Genomic DNA, 22,853 nt, shown 5'->3' with positions numbered 1-22,853 from the left:
TAATTTTGTTTCTAGTTTGCATTCTGTCACTTAAATAAATAAATATAAATAAGTGCCTACCATGTATCAGGCATAATGTTAAGAATTTTCTTGCATGGTTTCATGGTTTCATTTTCACTTATAAATAGTTCAGTTTAGGTCTATATTATTATCCCCATTTTGGAGATGGGAAGACTGAGGCTCTGCAAGTTTAAATAACTTACTCAAGGTTAATCCACTTATTCCACATAGCAAGTAAAATTCAAGCGTTCTTTTTACTACACCGTTGCTTCTTCACTAATGTCTCAGTAAATCTGAGGTTGAGTTTCTTCTACAATTTAAGATGTTAGATCTGATCCATCTAGCTCCAAATTATGATGTTCTCTGATAATGTAAGTAACTCTCTCCTGATTCTGTTTGCCTCTTTGCATCTCTCACTGTGAACTAAGTTTAAGCTAGTCACTTGCTTTAGGATTTTCGACCGACGCCACCTACCTCTTTGGTATGTGTAGGTTTCTCCTAGGGCACCTTGACCCTTAACCATTTTGTCTGACACTAGTATGGAAAAAATGAATCTGTGAAGAACTGGGGCTAACCCAACCAAATAAGATGTCAAGCAGATGTGCTAACTTATGCATACACATATTCAGGGAATGCCAAAATATCCGTCTGCTGAAAAATATCTCCAGCATTTATGTGTCAAGGACCTAGAGTTTTCCTCATTAGTATAACTCCTTTGAACCCAGTTACCCTGACAGGCCCTCCTGTGAACATGTAAATTCACATTACATGAAGCAACATATCAACTGTTTGTGCCAGCTAATTCTCGAGCATGTGTTTTGTGCATACCAGAACCTAAACAGGGGAGCGATGAGAGAACAGAGCACATGAATTTTGATGAAGAATGTACTGGAAGAAGGGCAGCGTCCGCACTGCTCACAAGACAGGCTGAGAGCAGGCCTTCCCCTTTACCATTTGGGCATAGACCTCTGCTGGCAGAAATCTCCCATATGTAAATGAAATTCTAGTGAATGAGGATGTTCTTCTGATCTATTAAGGAAAAAAAGCAGAGTTTAAGGGCTTCTTCATCTCCCCATGGCCACACCCACTGTGCCCCAATTCTAAGCTCTATTCCCAATAAACCAGAATGCCTGGGATTCTACTTCAGAAGGGCAGAGTTTTGGCTTAAGGAAATAAGCTAGGCTGTGATACTGAGCCTGGAATAAAAATACCATCTGTCAGTATCAATCTTTGCTGCTTTAAAATAAATACGTTTATTAGATCAATTTTGGTTGGAACAGTGTGCTGAGAAGAGGCCTAAAAAGAAGCATATAAATAAATGCATTATTATTGTTAAAATTTAAAATAAAACATGAAAATACTTCAAGTATAGAGAAGAAAATAGCAATGATCCATAACTGCGCCCCCAAAGATAACCATCCTTCAGACCTCCCTAGATACCATGGGGCTGCCTTGCTAAAACTTTGCACAAATATATGATAAGCATTTTCCCCAGCGGAGGTAATTTTGAAAGGGAGGTTGGACAGCATTTTACTGTGGGAGTAGGCAGACCTGGGCATGAGCCATGTCAGGGTTGAGGGATGACATCCCTGATCCTGGGGGGAGAGGCGATGGCATAGGAAGGGCCAGTGAAAGAGGCAACAAGAAGCTTCAAGACACTAACTTCATCCACCTGGCCACTTTGCCCAGGTGGACTTTGGGCATCAGGAAGTGTTTTATGCCACTGAGTGAAGACATCTTCTCCCATTGGATGTGCTTATGCCTTGGTAAAATAAGAAAGCCAGGCTAGTGCAGCTCTAAAGTTCCCTTCAGCCTATGGTTTGTTCCCCTTGAAGGAGGAGTTGATGTTCTGCTTGCCCTGAGTCCTCTCAAGGATTCAGCCAGGGTTGAGCATGAGCTCCCTGATTCAGAAGTTCCTCATTTCAACCCCCAGAGGAGTCCCACAGAGCGAATATTCTCTGTTCTAGCACGCTGAGTAGTGCCAGTGGCTGCTTTCATATTGAAGAGTGATTGGCAGTGGGAGGAGCCTGGAGTCTGGATTTGGAAGACCCTATTCAAATCCAAGCCACACCCTTTACTCACTGCAGATCTCCGAGCAAATGACAGTGACTTCATCTCCTAGAGCCTCAGTTTCTTCATCTGGAAAATGGCACTAATCACACATCTTCAAAAGATTGTTGTGAGAATGTGTGGCTGAGTATGGAAGTGCTCTGCAAACTTAAGCACGTTATGCCATAAGGGAGCAACAGGGAAAGAGTCAGAACTCAGGGATTCCTTCGCACCAGTTTTCATGGCTTATTGTTACTTTTCTATTTTATTTTTATAGTGGTTTTACCTCTAGATAACTTTCACAGGTATTATCTCAACACAACTTCACCGGCCTGGTGTGGTGGCTCACATCTGTAATCCCAACACCTTGGGAGGCTGAGGCGGGTGAATCATCTGAGGTCAGGAGTTCGAGACCAGCATGGCCAACATTGTGAAACCCTATCTCCACTAAAAATACAAAAAAATCTGGTGGGTATGGTGGCGCATGCCTGTAATCCCAGTTACTTGAGAGGCTGAGGCAGGAGAATGGTTTGAACCCAGGAGGCGGATGTCACAGTAAGCCGAGATCACATCACTGCACTCCAGCCTGGGCAACAGAGTGAGTCTCCATCTCAAAAAACAAAACAAAACAAAAACAAACAACAAACAACAACTTCGCAGGGACATGGGAGACAGAACACGAGGTGGCAGCCTCATATGACAGATGATTTGAGCCTCAGGGTCTTCCAATGACTTGCACCAGGACATAGAATGACTTAGTTGTTGCTGGATACCGTAGTCAGAACTGGGAATTGGATTTCGCCTGGCATAATAAAAATATTGCAGGACCCAAGTCAGGACCAGAGTTTGGTTCCTTGAACTAACAAGGAACCTCCTTCAAGTCCTAGTACTCTCCCTAGACTTTGGCAACCTCTTCTATGAAAGGGGAGGTTGGAGGAGAGGGCGCAGTGAGACTGGCATTTTTTTAAAGGCGTCTTCAGCATTGCTGGTCCATTACTCTGAGAGGTGAAGTAATGTTTCTGCAATTGGGGAAGTGGCTGTGGTTTAAATTCCTAGTCTGTTAACTGGTTGTAGAGTTGGTTTCCTCTGAAAGGGGAGTGGCCATTGGCAGGAGTGGACATGAGGCAAGCCAGGGTCCCACTCCCTTAACCACCCAGGCCATGGTCCCTCCTTGGCAGGCAGAGGCGGGCAGGGTGCTGCTGGCCTGAGGGTCCTGGGCAGGCGGCTCTGTTCTAGCACTCTAAGGAGATCAGATGTTGCGGGCACCAAGGTTCTCAGGCCCACAGAGGATGGCATTTCTCATGTCAGGAGGGGATGGACGAATGAAGACGTGCGCACTCCCGGGAGGGAGGAGAGTCACAGGAAAGAGGTGTGGACAGGCAGGATGGAGCAGCACGTGTTGTATCGGGATTCAGTAGTGTGATGGGTGGAGCCGGGAGAGGAGGGAGCTTCGGGCAAGGGAACGTTGGCAGGAAGCGTGCGCAGCAGCAGGAGCCTCGGGTGCTTGCGGGTCTGTGCACACTCTGGCCAAAATGACCCAGGTAGTGTTTCAGCTTTAACTCTGCAGGTGTTCAAGTCCCATCCAGTGAGTCCAAGTGAAGCACCCTGTCCACACGGAGGAGATATCCCAGGGCAAGGCTGACAGAAGGCCCTTGAGGTCCCAGTTACGTGTCTGGGCAGACAAATGTGAGACTGTGGCAAACCAGAGAGCACTGCCTTGAGGTTGGCCGCGTGTGCCCGCTAGAGCCAGGTGTGTCCACTGTACTGAGGGAAAGAAGCGATGCCCTTCCTACACACGGGCAATATCGTGTAACAACGGCTTGTTTACAGCCCTTGCTGGGCTCTGGGGCACATTTGTCTCCAGGCAGCGCCTTGGAGACGACCCATCTCCGAAGCAAGTCTGGCTAGGGGGCAGGTGCCTCTGCCCTGGAGCACAGGCAGTGGCGGGGTGTGCATCTCCAACCCCGGGGGCCACGTCATCGGCACCCCTTCTGGAGCCATGGCTCCTTCTGACCTTGTTCCCTTGGTGGGCATCTGCACACGTGGTTTAAAAGTGCCCTTTCCAGGGCTGATCCTGCCCCCGGAGGCCCCAGTGAAGCAGCCCAGCCCAGGCTCAGCACAGATGGATTTTCCAAGGCTCTGGGCCGCCTTCCTCCTGCGGGACTTCATGCTCGTCCAGGTCCGGCTCTCTCGGGGGTCCTGGGGCTTCAAGCACCAGACTGAACCGTTTCCTCTGCACCGTGCTTTCCTCCGGGTGAGGCCACCAGGCACCTTGTCAGGGACACCGTTTCTTCCACTCACCCCACCCTGGCCCCTGACAGGTCGCCTCTCCCTCCTTGTTTTATTTTTCTCCTCTTCTCATCCAGATTAAACATGTACTATGCTTCATATCTTGTATGTGTCCTGTCTACCTGGTGGACGCAACGTAAGCTCCGTGTCAGGGACCTTTGTATTGTTCAATGTTGTATCGTTAGCACATGCCAGGCTTCCAGGAAACGTTTCCAGGAAATGAATAAAGCCTTCTTAGGTTTACTGCCGGCCCGCCCCGCGCCGGGCCGTGTGGCTGCGGAGGCAGAGGAGACCTCAGCCTTCCCTTCCCTCCAGGCTCGCTAAAGCCTGAGCTCTTCCTGACACTTCCCCTCCGGCCCGGCCCGGAAGTCCCATTCCCGGATCCTTCACCGAGGCCAGTCCCACCCGGACAAGAATTCAGGCAGCACAGTCCCCCTCCCGGGGCAGTCTACCGTGGGGAAAGGGCAAGCACACAAGGTGGCCCTGCAGCGGCCCCTGAGGACGCCAGCGACAGTCTCTGGTAGGACCAGCTGGCCGTCCCTTCTCCCATTTGACCCTCCTCCTGGTCCGCTGCCACAGATCAACTGTTGCCACAGCTACCAGGGAAAGGGGTGTTTGTCCACGGGAATGCTCCCTGCGGAGGAGCTCTGCCCGGGGGCCTCAGCCGGGAAGGCGGCCAGGCGGGTTGCGGTACCAGGGGCTGCCCAGCGAGGGGAGACAAAGCTCCACAAGTGAGAACAGAAGCTGTGCCGGCGGCATCAGTTACCCGGCAGCGTCTGGGAACCGCGCTGGGTTGCGCTGGGGTCGGCTAGTGGGCCGGCGTTCCTCTCCTTCCCTCCCTCGGCTGGGCTCCGCTCCACCCCTCACTCAGCCTCCTCTGGATCAGCGCCACCTCCTTCCTTTGGTCAGCCCCCTTCACCTGCAATAGGCCCCAATACAAGGGGCTTGAGGAAACAGTTTTGTGTTTTGTTTTGTGGTTAAAGAAAGAAAGAAAGAAAGAAAATTAAAGCCATATCTTCCAGCCCTGTCTGCAACTGACACAGTCAAGTGATCAATCCCGGCTGACAGCTAGCCCGTTTCACAAAAACACCCATGAAATCGTTCTCAATTCAGGAATGGCTTTGAAGATCTAGCTGGTATTAATAATCACCAACCGGGGCTGGGCTCAGTGGCTCACCCCTGTAATCCCAGCACTTTGGGAGGCCAAGGTGGGTGGATCACCTGAGGTCAGGAGTTCAAGACCAGCCTGGCTAACATGGTGAAACTTCGTCTCTACTAAAAATACAAAAATTACCAGGACATGGTGGCGGGCACCTGTAATCCCAGCTACTCAGGAGGCTGAGGCAGGAGAATGGCCTGAATCTGGGAGGCGGAGGTTGTAGTGAGCCAAGATCAAGCCATTGCACTCCAGCCTGGGTGACAAGAGCAAAACTCCCTCCGAAAAAAAAAACCAACAGCTCTGTAAATGACCTTTTCTGACCATGAGACTGAATAAAACCTTGCGGCAGATTAATAGGACCCAAAGTCATCATTCACATCCTATAAAAATAGGTTCGAAGGCAGCCGCTTCACAGTCTGAAGTGCAGGCACACCACTGCAGAGCCCACGAAATGTGGCTCCCTGGGACCTTTTCTAAGAGCACAACGTGGCTTTCCTCCTTTCTGACCCCATGGGAGGCTGTCTAGTCTGTTGGGTTTAAGAAGGAGACAGGAGGCTGGAAAAGGCATCCCTGAGGGCTAGCCGTGGCCCAGGGGACCAGCCCTCTGGTTGCTTCTCTCCGCCGTTGTATGACATGTGTCTGTTCTCACTCGGAGCCTGTACCACTCTGGGTAACTCTTATAGACTGGAGCCCCTAGAAAGAGATAGGAAGGGACAGAATAGGAACTAAACTTACACTGCGAAGGCTGGTCTCTGGACTGACCGGTAGAACTCACAGCACGTGCTGAGACAATGACTGGAATACAACGGGAAAACTCCATGACCCCAAAGCCCCATGCTGGCCCCCGGCCATGGGAGGCACTGGACAGGCACAAGGAGGATGCGGCTGTCTTTACAGACAGTGGTGTCTTGCAGAGGTACCTCAGATCAGTCCCCAGCGCTGCAGCTGCCGGCTGGCTGCATGCAGCAGTGCTGGAGCAAGGCAGAAAGCCATTCCTAGGGAGGCTGCTGTGGAGTACAGCTTGGCAAGGCAGAGGCTCAGGGGCGGGAACGATGCTTGGGTCCAGTGATCAGGATTGGGATCAATGACAGGGTTGCTGAGGCAGCCCTAAACCCCAGCTGGAACAGGAGATGGAAGCTGAACTGGCAGCAAGAGTGGGCAGTGGGGTCTCCAAGGATGCCGCTCAGGCAGTCTTGGGTGCGGTGACGCATTAAATCTACAAGCAGGGCTCAGAAGATCTCATCTGTAGGGAAAGGAGGGATGAAGGGTTGGAACCTAAGCAGGGTGCAACGTTCTGAACCAAGACCTTTACCAAAATCCTTGACATTAAGCTGGAAACTAATGTTTTATGAGCAAGGAGGACTCTTGAGCCTCGGTTCTATTAAATGATATCATTTGCAAATTAAAAATGTTTGGAAAACTACTCAGCAGTATTTGTCAATAGTGGTAACGCCAGTCAGAATTGAACAGAAAAGGCTCGAGAAGACACCGATTTTGCCTACATGCAGGTGGTAAAAGGACCTGAGAGATTTAAGATAAGGAAGTGCAGCGGGGATTCATGGACTTCCTTTCACTCGGGTCTGTCCAGTCTGGCAGAGGCAAGGACAGGTATCTGGGGTGAGAAATTTAGAATCACATTTGCGGTAGAGTCTGGTGTTACGGGTGGAGTCTGATGCAAGCTGCTCCTGTGCTTTCCTCCCTGACACTGTGGACTCTGGAAACTTGCAGCTTTGAGCATAATGGAGATTAGCACAACATATACCCTTGGAATGACACAGAGCTTAGGCCAGGCTAACAGTTTCACTAGGAAAGGTGTCTTTACACCCAGTGCTAGGAAATTTATTCTAAAACCAAAGTTGGTGTCACCTTTTGTAGCTAAACAAGACCCTATGCCCCCATCCAATGGGCTTCCTCAAAAGTTTCCATGAAATTCTCAAACTTTTCAGCCCCCACCCCCACCTCAATTTCTGTTTAGTGTCCCATTTATGCATGCACTTAAGTGTGCTTGGATGGAAAACAAACGAAATGGAACTGAGGGCCCTGTCTAATCTGACTTGCGGAAAAGTTTTTGAAAGAAGAGATGAGAAGATCCCTTTTGCATAGCACATTAAAATAAATTATGGAGAACTTCTCCCTTCCAGCTAAGGAGGTGGTCAAGATGAGAGGATAAATCTTTAAAAGAATAATGTTTTCAAAATCAGGTTCCTTGCCCTCAATCCTTTGATGTATGAGTGTAAGACTAGGTAGGACACGTGGTGAAATATACATGAGAGCTCAGAAGAGAATAGCAGAGTGAAGAAAATATTAGTGTTTACATCAAAACTCAATTGGAACACTCATTTCAAGGTGATAGTTTATTATGGTGAATGCAATTTAGTCCCACAAGGATATTTCCTTTCCATCTCCAGGGCTCTTCCCATGCCTGCAGCCCCATCCCCACTTCCCACTTCCCTTCTCCCCATATCCAGATGTGAGGAAGCAAAACACATCCACTGCAGAATTAGTTCTTTGTGACTGCAGGCTTTGCAGACTGTAAAGGAAAGGAAGAGGAAGAGGTAGAATCCTTTGGAGTCTGCCAATAGTTCCCCAGCTTTTTGGAGACGTAGACAGTTTTAAACAGAGAAGAAATTAACACAAAGGATTATCTTCTTGCAGTCAACCAAAATGATCAGCTTCAAACAAAACTGTCATTCTTCTTGGGTGTGGTGATACACTCTTGTAATCCTAGCAGTTTGGGAGGCTCAGGCAGGAGGACTGCTTAAACCCAGGAGTTCAAGACCAGCCTGAGCAACATAGGGACACTCCCCAACACTAAAAATAAACATGAAAATAAAATCAAACAAAAACTATTATCCTTTTTCTTTCTTTAGCTCGCATCCCTCTTAGACACACTTTAAGGAAATTCAACTATAGCAAAAGTTAAGTGGAGGCAAAAGTGATCTTGTTGAGGGGGGCAAACTTGGAAAAGCAGTCTCTGCAGCCCTGGAGGCAATGGGCCCACTGGCTGATGCCCACGTAGGGTTTGGTGAGCCTGTCATCTCTGCATGCAGCCAGCTGCCCAGTCAGCAGTGTTTAGCCAGGGGCTGCTGTGTGCAGCGTTCCCAGCCCTCCAGGTGGGCTTGACTTCTAAGTTGCTCTAAGGCTTTCTCAGCACCCTTCAGGAAAACGTAGAATCTTGAATGAGGCACCTGCCTTCCCAATAAGAGGCCTGTTTTCTCACCTGGCAGGTCCTGTCATGCAGCCACAGTAGGAGCAGGGACCTGGGGAGCCAAGGCCTGGTGGCTGCCCCTCCCCTCCACACCCTGCCTGCACCTACTGTCTCTCTCTGACCTTAGGGGTGACTTTGTCCTGAGCGTGGGACAGACAGGTCTGAGCCTAGACCTGCACGCAGGCACTGAGGTGTGTTTTAAGGGTGGAGAACTGTCTTCTACATGTGACTATATGTAACAGCATGCGGCTATTGTGTCAGATGCTTATATTTTAGAGGTTCTGCTGGTACAGTGCTCAGTGAAAATGAAGGACAGAAGGAATCATTCCCTTCTAACAGCTTCTGTGTTCTCTCTCTTTACACCAGTAGTAAATACTCTTCCTGAATTAGAAGCTTAGAAGCTGTGAATCCTGAGGGGATGGGGAGAAGGAGGTGGAGGGGGAGGGAGAGGGAGAGGGAGAAGGAGAGGGAGAGGGAGAGGGAGAGGGAGAGGAGAATAAGATTTGGAAGTGACCTAAAAAATCCTTTATTCTAATTCCATTTTTTGAAGTTTAGTAGCATGAGATCCAGAGAAAGGAACGGCCTTAAAATATCTGATGGAAAGTTTGTGGCAAATCTAGAATTTGAAATCCTGTCTTTTGCCTGAACATCACCACAGATCTCACTAGAAAAGATGGAGTATCAACAGCTGTAAAGATAATAGTAGCTGATTAAAGTTTTCCAAAATTCTATTCTTTACCTGAAAGCTCACATTTGAACACTGGCAGTGGATACTGTGAGTTGGTTTCCATGAAACAACTGACTAATTTCATTCCCTTTTGAGAAAATGGCTGCCAAGTACCCAAGTCTAATAATAACACATCGTCCATCCTTCTTTCAAGCACATATTGTGCTCCATGAAAACAGTGGCTAGCTCAGCTTGCAACTCAAACAAAAGAATGTTTTCTTGAGACAATCATACTACTTGGTTGTGCAGCAGAAGTGTTCTGGGTGACCCTTCCATCTCACCAGGCAAAGTTTTAAAAATGTGTACTCAAGATTTGAAATGTAATAAAATCAAGTGTTTCTTTGTTTAATGAGGGCATTCTTAAGTGAAACTGGCGTTTGGGTTTCCCTGCAAGCGTGCGGAGGTGAAGAGTGCAGTGACTACTCATGCAATGGGCTTTGTGTGCTGGGGTTGTCCATGCCTGAGGCTCCTGCCATCTTACCCACCACTGCTTTTGCACCATCAGTGCAAATATCAACACAGTGAAGAAGGCAAATAATGTCCTAATGTTATCCTGACAATAGTTCTGACCTCCCTAAAAGGTCTTGGGCAGTCTTAGAGATTTGTGGATCACACTCTAAGAACCACCAGATGAAAGAATCCGCAGATCCTTTGAGTACAAAGGCTCTGGGACCAGAAACCCTTTAGATGTCTTCCTTGAGCTTTATCTGTAAGATAAGAAATGTCAAGGTGGCAATACAATTCTAGATAGGTCCCTAGTACTGGTCTGTGCTATTACTGCCTTGATCTCTGAATGATAACACACAAAATCAATGTTCGGACCATGGAGTCAGCCTGCTGGAAATCCACAAGGTAGTCCTGGAGGAAAATTTGATTTGTTTCAATGACAAAAGATAAAGGTCCTTGCAAAGTTACCATAAGCCTGAAGCTTAGAGCAAAGTTTCCCTGGAATTCTCATTTTCTGGTTTAGTTACCAGCCCAGTGGCGGCAGCCTAGGTCAGTGAGGCAAGCTTGGAACCCTCCCTGTGGGCATCTTCACACTTCAGGCTTCATTTTTCTCCTGAAGAGCAAGTTACTTCTATCTATTGACTGTAAAGTCATCTTGCCAGATTATTTTTATCCTTAAAATACTTAGGTTATGTATAGACTCTCAGCAGTTGATGTTAAGCTGGGCAAAAAGTGTAAATGAGACTACTGGCCTCTACTGGGAGGTGCCGAGAAGCACAGAGGAGAAGCGAAAACCCAGGCGTGGGGAGCCGCGCTCACTACCTGATTTAGCCAGCGTGCTCCGAGATGCCTGGTCCCTCCAGAGCTGCCCTGATGGGAGCGGGACTAGCTGCTTTCTGATACTCTAGGCTCTAGGAGGTGCATCATAAAACAGAAGTGGACACAGGGAGAGAGTCCCTAACTGGTTGAGGAGTGGGTGGCATGCTCGATGTGACACCTGCCCGCCCCATTTATCTGAGCTCTTGCTGGAATCCCCATGTCTCTGTGTGTATCAGGATGCACCCCGCGTGCCCCCGCCCCAGTCTGCAAACATGCAAACACACCATGCTCTCCTGCATCTCTGATGCTGTTTGTACCTGGAATTGCTCTCCTTTTGCTACTTTCTTTCTGGGGAACTTCACTCATCCTTTAAATTCCACGTCATGTGTCACCTCTCGGTGATTTCTTTCCTGAAGTCTTTACGCAACCAAGGAAGAATCAAACCCTTCCTCCTCCTCTATGGTTTGATAACTTTAATAATGCTACTTTCAAACATTTGTCACATTATATTATAGTTAATTATTTGCCTGGCTTTACCACTCAGTTTAAAATTCTCCAAGAGCTTTACAAATGTAAACAAGCTCTGTGCCAGGTACTGGCCAGGAGCTGGAAATACATTGAGTAAAACAGACATAGCTCTAGCCCTGGAGGTATTCCTAGTCTAGTGCGGAAGGCAGATAACGCACTAGTAAAAATAAAGTATATTATGATGTGTTCTAAAGAAAACAGATGTACAGGGTTAGAAAAGATAGGGTGTTTAATTAATTTTTTATATTGCAAACACCTGGAACTTTGTCTCTGGCACTGCAGGAGTTCACACATTTTTGTCTGGTGCCCCTCATTGTGCCCCTGAGAGTACTAAGGACTTGAGAGGGTCATGCAGAAAACCCAATGGATTGAACAGAAGGATGTGCAATGAAGGGACGATGACAGAGGTGTGGGCAGAGTTCACAGGACGCATGTGATGGTGACTAGCAACAGTGGGAGTCATTTCTGTCCTTTGAAAAAAGGGCAAATAGCAGACCAGTTGCTAGGGACAGGGGCAGGCTATAGCTTTGCAAGTGGAGCTGCCTGACAGGAGCTGGGTGATAGGACCTCAAACTCTGTCCTCCACCTCCCATGTCCTACTGGAGAATTCTACTGGCCACACCCACCCAGAAGCAGAAGGCAAGGGAAGCTGGGGTGGTGGTATCTGCAGACAGCAGAGTCTCCAAGGCACAGAGCAGGACAGGAAGGGCAGAGACTGGAACTGGGCAATCAGTCGAAGAGCCGCCAGCTGACCTGATTAAGGGAGTGGGCACCAAATCCAGCAGCCTTTGGCCTTGGACAATTCTGAATCAAACCCCATGCCAATCTATGATCTACATTGGCCCTCCTGGCAACAGAGGTTATGTAAGAGGTATTCCCTTAGACTCTGGAGCCAAGTATTTCACATGTGATCCTACCTACCTACATCTAAGGAACAGAACCCTGGTCAAATAAAATTAAAGACAAAGGATAAAAGAGTAAGCGACCTAGCCAGGCACAGCAGCTCACGCCTGTAATCCCAGCACTTTGGAGGCCAAGGCGGGTGGATAACCTGAGGTCGGGAGTTCGAGACCAGCCTGACCAACATGGAGAAACCCCGTCTCTACTAAAAAATACAAAATTAGCCAGGTGTGGTGGTGCATGCCTGTAATCCCAGCTACTCGGGAGGCTGAGGCAGGAGAATCACTTGAACCCGGAAGGCGGAGGTTGTGGTGAGCCAAGATTGCATCATTGCACTCCAGCCTGGGCAACAAGAGCAAAATTCCGTCTCAAAATAAATAAATTAAATAAATAAGTAAGCCACCTAATGTCTCTCCCCTCGAGGAGTTGAGAATCTGTTTCACAAAGAAAACAATGTCCATGAATGAGATTTTACACTTACGGAACCATACATAGTGATTAAAAATTAATAGAAAACCATCTGAGTACTGCACATGCTTGAGGGCTTGGCAGAGATTAAATGTGATTAGAATCAGGCTGAATTAATCAGGTAATAACATCATAGATGTAGGATAAAGTTCAGTTAAACTGAGTTTGGAGGAATGTTGCTTCATCTGTAAAAATAGACTTTCTTCCCCAGACTTTTAATTTTGGGGAATTCTGAAATAACTAGTTAATTTTACAGTAGATTTAAATGTGTCCTGGTTTATTTTGGTTTTCATAAAAAGAGACATTCTCTCCACGATTAGAGATTTACTGAATCTGGGGAGAGATTTAGCATTGATCTGGCTTACCTGATTGATTTCCAATTCCCCAGAGACTCTAAGCAGGTATGGATTCAGATGTTTATGAAGCTAATCATTCTGTATTCATGTTCACTGAGCCTCTCAGTCACTCATTTTTCCTTTTAGGGCCACACAGTAGTTTATGAAATTACAATCAATTTTACATCAGATGTTTAGGAATGACCACGGATGACTTTTTATTAGATATCACATATAGAATAACAATCATTTATAAATCATTCTCTGTCCCCCTCCATCTCCCAGTTTGTTTTGCTTCCCTTCCTCCCAATCCATGATAACTGGGCCTTTTGAGTCATTTGAACACCAAATATTTAAATATTCTCTCTTTTACCATGGAGGCAGCATTATACGGTAGAGGCGGCTCCCTCATGGAGTCTCACCACTTGGAATTATCATGGAGGCAGCATTGTATGGTAGAGGTGGCTCCCTCATGGGGTCTCACCACTTGGAAGTATCATGGAGGCAGCATTGTACAGTAGAGGCGTCTCCCTCACGGGGTCTCACCACTTGGAAGTACCATGGAGGCAGCATTATACGGTAGAGGCGGCTCCCTCATGGAGTCTCACCACTTGGAAGTATCATGGAGGCAGCATTGTACAGTAGAGGTGGCTCCCTCATGGAGTCTCACTACTTGGAAGTATCATGGAGGCAGCATTGTACGATAGAGGTGGCTCCCTCATGGGGTCTCACCACTTGGAAGTATCATGGAGGCAGCATTGTATGGTAGAGGCGGCTCCCTCATGGAGTCTCACCACTTGGAAGTATCATGGAGGCAGCATTGTACGGTAGAGGCGGCTCCCTCATGGAGTCTCACTACTTGGAAGTATCATAGAGGCAGCATTATACGGTAGAGGCGTCTCCCTCATGGGGTCTCACCACTTGGAAGTATCATGGAGGCAGCATTGTACGGTAGAGGCGGCTCCCTCATGAAGTCTCACCACTTGGAAGTATCATAGAGGCAGCATTATACGGTAGAGGCGTCTCCCTCATGGGGTCTCACCACTTGGAAGTATCATGGAGGCAGCATTGTACAGTAGAGGTGGCTCCCTCATGGAGTCTCACTACTTGGAAGTATCATGGAGGCTGCATTGTATGATAGAGGTGGCTCCCTCATGGGGTCTCACCACTTGGAAGTATCATGGAGGCAGCATTATATGGTAGAGGTGGCTCCCTCATGGAGTCTCACCACTTGGAAGTATCATGGAGGCAGCATTATATGGTAGAGGCGGCTCCCTCATGGGGTCTCACCACTTGGAAGTATCATGGAGGCAGCATTGTACGGTAGAGGCGGCTCCCTCATGGAGTCTCACCACTTGGAAGTATCATGGAGGCAGCATTGTACAGTAGAGGTGGCTCCCTCATGGAGTCTCACTACTTGGAAGTATCATGGAGGCAGCATTGTACGATAGAGGTGCTCCCTCGTGGGGTCTCACCACTTGGAAGTATCATGGAGGCAGCATTATATGGTAGAGGCGGCTCCCTCATGGAGTCTCACCACTTGGAAGTATCATGGAGGCAGCATTGTACAGTAGAGGTGGCTCCTTCATGGGGTCTCACCACTTGGAAGTATCATGGAGGCAGCATTGTATAGTAAAGGCAGCTCCTTCACAGGATCTCGCCACTTGGAAGTATGTTTCTCAACTTCAGGTCTCCACACTAGGCTGAGAAGAGGCAGTTGGACTCTCTAAGGCTTTATGAGGAGAGAGCAGACTGAGAAGTGTCCCCATTTCTGATGGTTAAATCGAAATCATCTTTGCCTGTTGATTTTAAATTCCTGTAAGTGTTTCGTCTATGCCCCTGTGATGATGTGCCCAACCAGTAAAGGCAGACAACAAATAGATGAAGTTAATAATGAGAAGCCTCTGTGAGGAGCAGCCCTGGGAGAGCAGTGTTCCAGGCAAAAGTAACAGCAGCAACAAAAGCTCTGAGCCTGGTTCCAGTGTGGCACTTCTGGAGACTCCTGGTGCACACTGAGTGTGGCTGGGGTACAGTGACAAGGGACAGACAAGGAGATAGAGTCTGCAAGTGACTGTTAGAAAAGGGTGCAGGTGCCACATATGACATAAATGCCATCTGACTTTTTAAGAAGTTTGGGTTTGATGACAGGTATAATAGAAAGCCACCAGAGGTTTTGAGGTGACAGAAGTATGAGCTGATCTGTCAATGTATAAGAGGGCCAACATGATGAGAGCAGGGCCAGTCAGAGCCTGCTGCAGTGGTCCTATGCCTGGACTCAGGTGGGAAAGGTGGGGAAAATGATATAGACTCATATTTGGAATAAACCTGAAGCCAGAGCCTACAGTGCCTGCTGAAGGGTGACCAGGAAAAGAGAAGAATCAAAGATGACATCTAGGGTTTTAGCCTGAGAAAGTAAGAATGGCAATGGTGTTTACCAAGATTGAGACCCCATGAAAGGGAGCAGATTTCAGGGGAAGAGAGTGGTGGTGAAAAGGAAAAGTCAGTTTTGCTCATTATGCATATTTAAGGGCGCTGTTGGACATCCAAGTGAAGTTGCCATGTGGATGGTTAGATTGAAGGACTTGAGAAGAGGGATTGGGAATAGAGGTGTGTATCCCAAAGCCATTAGGAATGAGTGGTTTTCCTGGGCACGAACTCAGTGAGATGAGGCAGGGAGGGAGAGCTGATCTGGATGAGGAGGAACAACCAGCCAAGACTGAGACAGACGATGGAGGTTAGGTCGAAGAAAAGCCTGGAGCGTGCTTTCCCAGAAGCCAGTTGAGAAAAGTGCTTCAAGAGGAAGAAGGAGTCATCTGTGCTAAAAGGCACTGAATAGAATAAGAGGAAATTTCATCATTGTTTTTTGCATGGGGGAATTCCTAGGTGATCTTGACAACAGAAATTTCAATCGCAAAATGGGAACAGAGCCTGACTGGAGTGGATGGAAACCAGGGGACAGAAAGTAAAAAGTGCAAATCAGAGAGCATATGTGATCTTTTACGAAGAGCTTTGTTGTTAAAGAGAGCAGAGAAACAAGGCAGTTACAAGAGGGAAGGGCATGGAGCCAAGAGAGGGTTTGGGATGTTTATGATGATGATTATGATAATGACCGTGATCATCATAATCACAATGCACGCCATGCGTTGAGGGCTTACCATGTGCCAGGCACTGTGCCAAGCAGTCTCCATCATGAGCTCAAGGCATTTTTCAGCAAACCTAGAAAGAAGGCTCTGACATTATCACCAGTGTAGAGGTGAAAGAACTAAGGATCAGGGTCCCAAATCTGGTGAATGATGAACTGGGAGTCCAACCAAGATGTGTCATAAACACAGCAGATGGAGATGTTCCTGTTCAAAGGCCAGCTGAAAATGAATGAAATTCTTAACTGTTGTTAGTCAAGACCTGTTGTGGTTGCAATGAATAGAATACCACCTCAAAATGACTCAAGGGAGTGAAAAAGTGAGGGAGGTTTAATTCAGATATCTCAAAAGTCTCTAAGAAGAACTGACTTCAGAATAACTGGATTCAGGGGCTCAAATGGTGTAATTAGGATCCTCTCCATCCCTGGGCTCAGGCCTCTGCTTTCCACTCTGTTGCCCTCAGTCTTGGCAGGTTCCCCATGTGCTGGCGTCTAGCAGATCATGGCTCACTTCCAACCATTTGGAAAATCCAGGAGTCAAAGTCTCATGTGGCTGGGTGGCTCTCATTGCTTGACTTTGGCCACCTGCTCATCTGGGAAACAATCACTATCCCCAAGGACACACAGTGTTCTCAAAGGGACTGGCCCACATGCCTGGCTCCAGAGCCAGCAGAACTGATCTGGACATAGAGGTTGCTCTCTAAAGGCAACATCCAGGTGCCATGGACAAAATAAGGGACACTGGGCTGGCGGTGAAGGGCAGATGTCCCCTAAAGTATGAAGCACGTGGACATGAAGTCTCCTGCAGACAGTGTCAAGATATGCTTCCCAGCATTCTGCCCAAATCTAAGCTCTATGAGGGCAGTGACCTCTTTAGTCCTGTTCATCAAGTATAGTTTCTAGCACAGTGACAGGCACACCATAGACTCAGGTTAAAAAATATGTTTATTGAATAATGGAGTGACCTCAAATGATTATTCTATAATGCTGGTCTGTTTCACTTGATTTAGTTGCTGGTTATTTTAATTTTAGCTGGAGAGCTCTTCATGTATTTGAAACTCATCATTATTCGTCCTAACTATAATTCTCCAACTCTCCAAAACCCTTAGTTTATTTGGAAATAGGGTATTCAATTAATGTCCTACTCATCAGAACAGTGTTTTTGGTGTATTTTAATCAAAGGGGGAAAAAAACTGCCTTAGTATAAAATCTTCAAATCTCTTTGTGATGTCCCCTGAGGGTATGAACCTGGTGGTTTAGCCAGAATTGAAATCCCCACAAATTCTAAAGAAGCTTTGCTTTGTTGAACCCCTGGGGGTTTATCTCCTCCCCGCTGACTCTGTAAGGTGAGGCAGAGCTCTAGGGAAAGACAAGTGCATGACAAAAAGCTGTTTGGGGTATATTTGCTTCTGATACTGAAGTGCCTGCAGCAGAGCTGTCCATCTGGAAAATGCAGGCTTGGGCGGTGGAGAGAGGAACACCACAGAATCCTTGTACAGGATTTGAAATGTTGTCTTCTGTGCGGTGTCAGTGGGAGGATGCTGAAGGGCTTGGGCTGCCTAGAAGACATTTGAGCTTTGTGTTATGGTTGTGGGGAGAGGCTTACAAGAAAAAATACAGAATGCCAGTCTTGTCCTATGTCGACATGATGCCTTCTTTCCCAATGGTCATCAAGAGATAGCCATGTGCTGCTGGGGAGATGTGTGAACCGAGGAGTGGGGCAGGCAAGTGAGAATGGTAGAGGGCTAAAAAACAAACAAACAAACAAACAAAAACCCAGCAAAACCTCCTGGAAGGCATGCAGAAGAGAAGCATAGTGTAGTGAGTACCCTGAACAGGAAGGGGTGCTTTAATGATGAAGCTCAGGGGCTGCAGCCCTGGAATGTCTGGGTGCAGACTCTAACTGCTTCACTCTTCCTTTTTTCGGTTGGGAGACTTCAGGCAAGATGCAGATCATCTGTGTCTCAGTTCCCCTGTTGGTAAAATACGGGTAATAAAATAGTACTACTTCACAGACGCTAGACACCCGTTGATATATTTAAAGCATTTTAAACAGTGCTTGGCACAGAGAAATCAATATGTGTGGGTTTGTTTCCATTGTTATTAGTCCGAATGGGAAAAAGATGGGAATGTAAGTCTGAGTGTGCATGGGAGAAGTTATGAGCTTTGGTCTGAATATTCAGAGGGCATAAGCTTTGAGAGGTGTGTGTGTGTGTGTGTGTGTGTGTGTATGTACACACATGGAGGAGGGACAGGAGGAGGCAAGGCTGGTCTGAGATGGATCTCTTCTGGCTGTATGCAAAATATTTTAACATTCTGGGGACAGAGAGCACCTGTTGGGTGTCTCGCAAGTTTGAGAAGAGCAATTGCTCTGAAGTCAGAAATGGAATTACTGTCACGAAAAGAAGCAGAGGCTGATGTGAATAATTAAGCCTCCTAATGAGAGCATTAATATTTCCCCAATAGATTGATTTAGAGCTTCTTTCTCTGGGATTGTTGCACAAACTTACCTGAGCTGGCCATCTATCTTGATTGTTCAGGACAAAATGCACTGAAAAAAAAAAAAAAGGAAGAAGAAGAAGAAACTGGTAGACCATTTAGTTTTACACTGCAATGTGAAACTAAATCCTAAGAAGGGAGGCCTACATCCAGGAAATGGTGAGCCCATGGCATGGTTCTGAGTGGTAGGACATGGAAATTAGGACTCCAAAGCAAGTCCTCCCTGGGCTCCACCTCATTATTCCTTATTGATTTTTACATTATAAATTGGCTCATTTCATCAGACCACTCCCCCAGCATGTAATGTGCCAGATGCTTGTGTCTTCCAAAGGGACTTGGAAACTGAGGTCAACTTTTCTTTAACCATAAGAACACCCATGGGTAGAAATAATTTGCTCATTACAGGCAAGCTCATTACCTGGACAAGCAAGGTAGGATGTGTCTCTGCCAGGGTTCAAGCAGAGTAGCACAATCAGAGAAGGTGTATGTGTATATGAATAAAGTTACTGCAAGGAATGGTTTACCCCATTGCAGATGATGGCTACACAAGACCAAAGTTCTTAGGGTGGACAGTCAGGAGAGGAAGACCATGAACAAACTAGAATGGGCAGGAGCTAAAGCTGAGTGTCTAAAAGTGGCAGCCAGGAAGGAAGGATTGGAAGAAGGAGAGCTGTGCTGGCCCAGGGGCTGTTTAGAATCTCTCCCTCAGGGAAGGGCTAAGCTCATTTACAGACTCTCAACTTGTTAAGTCATGCCCACAGAAGACAATCTCCCTTTGGATTAATTTAAAGTCAACTGGTGAGGGATTTCCACCTTAGCTACAAAATCCTTGTACAGGAGCACCTAGATCAGCGTTTGGCTGAATAACTGAGAGAAGAGGCATGCATGCTAGAGAGGCAGCTACTGCCCTCCCACCCTCCTGAGGGGGTCTCCCCGGCAGCCCAGCTAACTGGAAATACACTAGAATGTGGATTCTGGGGGCTGCCGTTCAGCCTAGCTGAGCTGACACATAAAGAAGCCCTCACAGGTGGAGAGCACAGCACGGGAGTGAAACCAGCTTCCAGGAGGACTCTGTCCTGCACGGTGACGGGTTACAAATCAGATTATAAGACTGCCCATATTTATCACACTCTATGTACACCTCATGTCATTGATATTAGCACTTCACATTTACATGCAATTTCATGAATTCCAAGCATTTCCTCATCTGCGATCAACTTCTCTTTTGTTTTGCTTTGCTTTGGATTTTTTAACATTCAAATAGATGTGATGGGTATTATTCTTCCTCATTTTACAGACGAAGACACTAAGGGCCATAGAAGTCAAGTTGCTTACTGAAAGGTCACGTGATTAGTGAGTGGGAGGTCAGGTGTGTCAGATCTTCCAATTCCAAGTCCAGGGCTCACTCCACTACCCCAGGCTGCCCGCGATAAGAGACAGCTTGCTCAGTAGACAGATCATTCTCCTCCCTGGTGACAATTCCAGTTGCCACTGAGTCTTCTAAAGCAATAGGAACTGACCTGAGTAGGTTATGTTCAGATTATGGCTGTGGGCTTCCCTTGCTGATGCGTAAGTTCCTTTTTATGTAATTAATAGTCTTGGAAATCTGAAAATCACATAGAATCCAATGTTACACTCACAGGAAGTTCCATATTTGAAGGAAAACAGCTAGATTGTAAACCCCACAGGGGCAGGGATATTTGTGCCATTTCCTGCTGTATCCATAGTGCTAAGAGTGAAGTCTGCCACATAGCAGGTTTTTGGTAAATATTTTTGTATAAATAGTAATGCTTAATGAAGCTGCTAGTCTTGAATCAATGGAAAACATTTATCTGTTATTGAGCTTTTGTAAAGTAATATTGACTAGACTTTCAAACTGACTGAATTTATTAATGATACTAGCTTGCTTGGCACTTTATGGTCAAAATGCACATTATGTACAGTGGCATTCTGGGAAACATGTCCTAAATACCTTCAAAGAGCCATAGCTTAGAGTAATTCAGGAGAAGACAGAGTTCCAGACCTCAATCTTGAAAGACAGTGTCTCTCTGGGGCATAACAGCAAAGCATCTCTCTGTATCAGCTCTATCTAGTACTGTATAGTTCTTTCTTCTGGGGTATCTTGTCAGTAAGAACCATGAACCCATAGAAAAAAATGTTTTATTGTTTTGTTTCTAAGTAAGTAAGTGGCACAGACAAAGAGAGACTTTCATCTCTTCTCAAGGCAACACAAAGTCACAAGATTAATTAACCTGCAATACACTGAGAACAGCTCTTTATCCAGTAGGTGCTCTCTGTCTATTTAGAGCGTGTAGTTTCTGGCGCTAAGTGGTATGATGAGTTGGCTGCATTCTCATACGGGGTTTTAGGCGTCTCTCCTAATGCAGTCAATAGTCCTTGTGATGGCCAATGCAGCACAGTGGTTAATCAGAACTGCTCTCTAGTCCGTCTGCTTGTATTTGAAACTCAACGTTACTATTTGTCGATTGAGTTAATGCACGCCTGTGTCTCAGTTTCTTCTCTGATAAGATGGAGATAATAAGAGTACATCCCTCATGGGATTGTTGTAAAAATTAACATGCATTAATTATGCAAAGCTCCTATGAAATTGCCTGGCCTAGGACAAGTTTTTTGTAAGTATTAGTAGGGGAGTTAGCATCCCATAGGGAATCAGCAGGACATTCCATCTGGGGAAGCCATGCATGCGTCTTACCCGATTCCTCAAGCCCGATGAGAGTGTCTGGGCAGGGTGGGGCAGGAAGGCAGTGGGCACTGTGGCCTTGGGCCTCCAGGAATCCTCAGTTTCTGGACAAGGACAAATAGGGCAGAAACCCTCTCGCAGTGCCCTGGCCATAGCATGTGCCAGATAGAAATGGAGGGCGTCTGGCTCTCAGAGGAAGCCTGGCTAACATCTCCCAGGGGATTCTTCACATTCAGAACTCAGACAAATTGCTGCTTTTTAATTAACACAGCCTCAACAACTCTGTTATCTGTCTTCTCATGAAACTATTTTCTCTCAAATCCTTTCTCCTTTTCCCACCCTGTCTGCTTCTGAGCTGTAATCTTTCAAGCTGCTCCCTGAGGAGTGGGCTGGGGATGGAAGTGGCAGAGAGACGGAGGAGGGGTGGAGAAGTGTAGCCGGAGTGATGGATGGACAGTGACCCACGGCCAGCAGTCGCCAGGCTGTCTGTGTACAGCTGCGGGAGACCTCAGCTGGAGCACGTGGGCCGCAGTGCCATCCACAGCTGGGTGTTATTAAAGAGCCGGCAGAATTCCCTGACAGAAACAAGTGGAAGAAGCATTCAGGAATGGATCCCAAATACCCCATTAATTTAAGTTTAATAGGACAATTATTGAATAATAAATAACAACCGAATCAAGGAAACATATTTATCAAAGACTTATGCCCAGATAATGCAATCGCGGCTACACCAGCTGAGAAGCCATAGTATGAATAGCTGCATCACGATGAAGAAATGCCCCCAGTGACTGTCTGAATGAACTCAGAGGAACACTCATGGCTCTATCTTGTCCTGCCAACCCTCTGGGGTTTCCCCTAAAAGTGGCATGTGCTGCTTAGGCTGAGGCAGCCCCATCTGTGGAGAAGGTGACACATATTTCCACACGGGGCCACGTGAAGCCATGTTCAGATTTTGTTCTCCTGAGTTTCCTCCATGAGGTCTGTGTGATGGAAATGCAAGATATGATCACCTTGTCTCAATCACCGTTTCAGGTCTGACCCACAGCTCTGTTTGAAGCCTTCTCTGTTTCCAGAAAACAGCTTCTTTCCAGCTCCATTCCCAGCAGGGCACTTTAAAATGGCTTTTGAAAAAAAAAAAAATTGTAAAGTTAAAAATATCCCCTTCCACTCCCCGGCTCCTAACTTATTAGAACAATGCCTAAGGCAGCAGGGGTGTCACTGGCAGTTCTATTTGTGATGGGTCTGGAAGAGTTGATATGTTTATGAATATTTACATCTCCAAGAGGAGACTGCTGTTAAGTAGATTTTTTAAAAAATCTGTAAATTTCCTTTTGTGGCATTAAAATGCTACAGCCCACAACATAGGCAGAGGAAAGAATGCAAGGGGGTAGGACAAGTGAACCACAGTATGGGCACCCCTAATCCTGTACTCTACAGAACCCCACATGCCAGGGGCTATGCAGGGAGGAATGTGGGCAAAGTGTTAGCTGGTAAATGCCTGGCGTTGTGTTGTGTTCTCCCAGCTTCCTTTTTATATGATGCCTATGATGCTGTCTGATGTTAGATGAAAAGCTCCTGGCATTGA

At 46.8% G+C, this 22,853-nt stretch overlaps 1 protein-coding gene across 4 annotated transcripts in view, besides 2 other annotated features; it reads left to right on the top strand.

Moving 5' to 3' along the window:
* Window positions 1–22,853, top strand: part of OPCML (opioid binding protein/cell adhesion molecule like) — a 1,117,521-nt gene that overhangs the window by 463,145 nt on the left and 631,523 nt on the right. The gene's annotated exons all lie outside the window — the stretch shown is intronic.
* Window positions 4,070–4,643: an enhancer, noted in NCBI's record as "H3K4me1 hESC enhancer chr11:132934609-132935182 (GRCh37/hg19 assembly coordinates)". NCBI's record gives its function as "activates a minimal SCP1, AML or CMV promoter by ChIP-STARR-seq in naive H9 embryonic stem cells {active_cell/tissue: H9 hESC(naive)}" and the evidence as "EXISTENCE:reporter gene assay evidence [ECO:0000049][PMID:30033119]".
* Window positions 8,638–9,138: an enhancer, noted in NCBI's record as "H3K4me1 hESC enhancer chr11:132930114-132930614 (GRCh37/hg19 assembly coordinates)". NCBI's record gives its function as "activates a minimal SCP1, AML or CMV promoter by ChIP-STARR-seq in naive H9 embryonic stem cells {active_cell/tissue: H9 hESC(naive)}" and the evidence as "EXISTENCE:reporter gene assay evidence [ECO:0000049][PMID:30033119]".

The sequence above is a fragment of the Homo sapiens genome, chromosome 11, assembly GCF_000001405.40.
Source record: "Homo sapiens chromosome 11, GRCh38.p14 Primary Assembly".
Classification (NCBI taxonomy): domain Eukaryota; kingdom Metazoa; phylum Chordata; class Mammalia; order Primates; family Hominidae; genus Homo; species Homo sapiens.
The sequence above is the reverse complement of the archived record's forward strand: the minus strand, read 5'-3'. Positions and strand labels throughout refer to the sequence as shown.